The 3,170-nt window shown below is 44.4% G+C and overlaps 1 non-coding gene across 1 annotated transcript; it reads right to left on the reverse strand.

Moving 5' to 3' along the window:
* Positions 1 to 228: 228 nt before the first annotated feature.
* LOC124900243 (small nucleolar RNA SNORA51) lies at positions 229 to 360 on the reverse strand. Its single transcript, XR_007060657.1, has one exon. It is a non-coding gene; the product is annotated as a small nucleolar RNA SNORA51 (small nucleolar RNA).
* Between the last annotated feature and the right edge of the window lie 2,810 nt (positions 361 to 3,170).

Genomic DNA, 3,170 nt, shown 5'->3' on the forward strand with positions numbered 1-3,170 from the left:
TCTCCTGCCTCAGCCTTCCAAAGAGCTGGGATTACAGGCACGTGCCACCACACCCAGCTAATATTTTCATATTTTTAGTAGAGACAGGGTTTCACCATGTTGGCCAGGCTGGTCTTGAACTCCTGACCTCAGGTGATCCATCCACCTCAGCCTCCCAAAGTGCTGGGATTACAGGCATGAGCCATCATGCTCGGCCTTTCTTTTTTTTTTTTTTTTTTTAATCCCCCTCCATGTCCACCCATTGACAATACAGAGGAGTTGCAGGGCCTGGGTTGAGGTGTATATGGCATAGGTTAATTCAGCCTACTCTTTCTATTTGGTTAGGGTAAGAACACATCCTGTGCTGAGCACCAGGAGGCTAACACCACAAATCTTTGAGGCTGAAACTTACAAGATTTCAGCTTCTGAAACAACCAATCCAGGCCCAAACTGACACTGAGCTAAGGATTCAGTGCCTACCAGTTACAGTTTGAATTTGTCACTCATATTTGACAGGTAATTATTTCTCCTCAGAAATAATAATTTTTTTACTTAAAAGGACCTCAGGTGAGAGACTGGGGATAAGAGAAAAGGGCAATTAGGTTATTGCTTAGCAGTTGTTACTGAATGTTAGAAATAAGAGCTCGGAGTCATAAAGAAAACCAGCACTCGAACAAAAGATTTCTCAGTAAGGCAAATTTACTTCTGCAGAAGGTGCTGCTCACACTCCTGGCCATGGCAATAGCACACAGAGTGGGGTAGGGCAGTGGTTTTTATCCCTAACGCAGCAGCTCCTGTAGCTGTGTCCTTTCCCCATTGGCTGGAGTCCGACTACACAATCTAAGGTGACTTGATTGGCTACTGTTTAAAATTGAATAGGGCTAACTTGGTGGGAAGGGAGAGGCTGTTTGTTACAGTACAAGGCATGTCCGGGCGTGTTAGGGAGCAGCAAAGGCTGGAGGGGTAGTTTTGGCAGGAAGGGCAATTGCAGAGCACATAAGAAATAGATGTGAGTTACAGATTAAGGCTGGCGGGAAGGTTATTTACTGTAACTAGGGGCAAGAAGAAGTATAAAGAACGAGGAAGTTAGGCTTGAAAATAGAGAACAAAGAATAGGCCGGGCGCTGTGGCTCACACCTGTAATCTCAGCACTTTGGGAGGCCGAGGCGGGCGGATCATGAGGTCAGGAGATCGAGACCATCCTGGCTAACACGGTGAAACCCCGTCTCTACTAAAAATACAAAAACATTAGCTGGGAGTGGTGGCGGGCACCTGTATTCCCAGCTACTTGGGAGGCTGAGGCAGGAGAATGGCATGAACCCAGGAAGCGGAGCTTGCAATGAGCCGAGATCATGTCACCGCACTCCAGCCTAGGTGACAGAGTGACAGAGTAAGACTCTGTCTCAAAAAAAAAAAAAAGAAAAAAAGAAAACAGAGAACAAAGAACAAGGAAGCTGAACAAGCCAACTCAACTCTTTGAAGAGGAACTTACTGCACCTAACACTGAATAAGATTAACTGTGGCTTCTTTCCATTTAAGTATCAAATTACAAAAATGGAAATCTTTCTGGAAACTCATAAACCTTAACTTTAAGGAAGATTTAGTTTTAACAATATCAATTCATTTTTGTTTTTGTTTTTGTTGTTGTTTGTTTTTTTGTGACAGGGTATCACTCTGCTGCCCAGCTCACTGCAACTTCCACATCCAGAGCTCAAGCCATCCTACCACCTCAGCCTCCTGAGTAGCTGGGACTACAGGCACACACCACCATGCCCAGCTGATTTTTATATTTTTTTTGGTACAGATGAGGTTTCACCACGTTGCCCAGGCTTGAACCCCTAAGCTCAAGTGATCCGCCTGCCTGGGCCTCTTAAAGTTCTGGGATTACAAGCATGAACCACTGCACCCAGCCAATTCATATATTTTAATGTTTCCTTTTTTTTTTGGAGACTGAGTCTTGCTCTGTCACCCAGCCTGGATCTTGTCTCACTGCAACCTCTGCCTCCTGGATTCAAGCAATTCTCCTGCCTCAGTCTCCCAAGTAGCTGGGATTACAGGCTCATGCCACCATGCCTGGCTAATATTTTTGTATTTTTAGTAGAGGCAGGGTTTCTCCATGTTGGCCAGGCTGGTCTCAAACTCCTGACTTCGTGATCCGCCTGCCTTGGCCTCCCAAAGTGCTGAGATTACAGGCGTCAGCCATCACGCCTGGCCTTTAACTGTTTCTTTATAAGAAATTGTTTAGACCAGAAATGTAACTAAATTACAAGGTAAATGCCCTAAAGAGAAACTTATGCATGGTCCCTTCCTTTGATGGAAATGTCTCCCCCTCAAAAGGTAGATCGCACCACATACAGCAGCTACATGTTAAAAAGAAATAAAAACATTGTCTTTTGTTTTATAATAATCAATAAAAAGTATTTACATTGTCAATCCAAGAAAATGATGAGAAAAGTCTCCATCATTTTTGGAGATTTATTTGCCAAAGTTAAGGACGTGCCCGGGAGACAGGTCTATGTCTTTCTCCGAAGATGATTTGAGGGCTCCAAATTTAAAGAGAAAAGCACAGAATTTTCGCATCAACAAAAGAGGGCAGAGGAAAAATGTGGGAATCTGCATTTTACATAAGATAATGAAACCGCCTTTGCAAAATTATGACTGAGAGAGTGCAAGAGATCTAACTTAACCGACTCCATCTTGCTTCTAACCTCCAAGCTGTCCTCGTTCATTCCTGGTGATAGGCTGAACTAACTTTGGGAGAAACCTAGTTTACAGTTTATAGTTTAAGCAAAGATGCTAACAGCCCTTTCCCAAAGCAGACCTTCTTCTTGCTTGGGGACTAGATTGCCTTTGTAGGACTAACATTAGCCACAAGATTAGAAATTACGATTTAGGAGTCATGCAGATGGAGGCTAAAGAAGACTCTGACACTCCCTAAACTGCTCCTAAGAGCAGGGCTTGAGAGGTTTTGCAGACCCTGCACTTGATGGATCAGCTGGCACCACCCAGATCAATAAACTGGCTCATCTGATCTTGTGGCCCCCACCCAGGAACTGACTTAGCGCAAGAAGACAGCTACGATTCCGTAGGATTTCACCCCTGACCAATCAGCACTCTTGGCTCACTGGCTTCCTCCCCACCCATCAAGTTATCCTTAAAAACTCTGCTCCCTGAATGCATGGGGACACTGA

The sequence above is a fragment of the Homo sapiens genome, chromosome 7, assembly GCF_000001405.40.
Source record: "Homo sapiens chromosome 7, GRCh38.p14 Primary Assembly".
Classification (NCBI taxonomy): domain Eukaryota; kingdom Metazoa; phylum Chordata; class Mammalia; order Primates; family Hominidae; genus Homo; species Homo sapiens.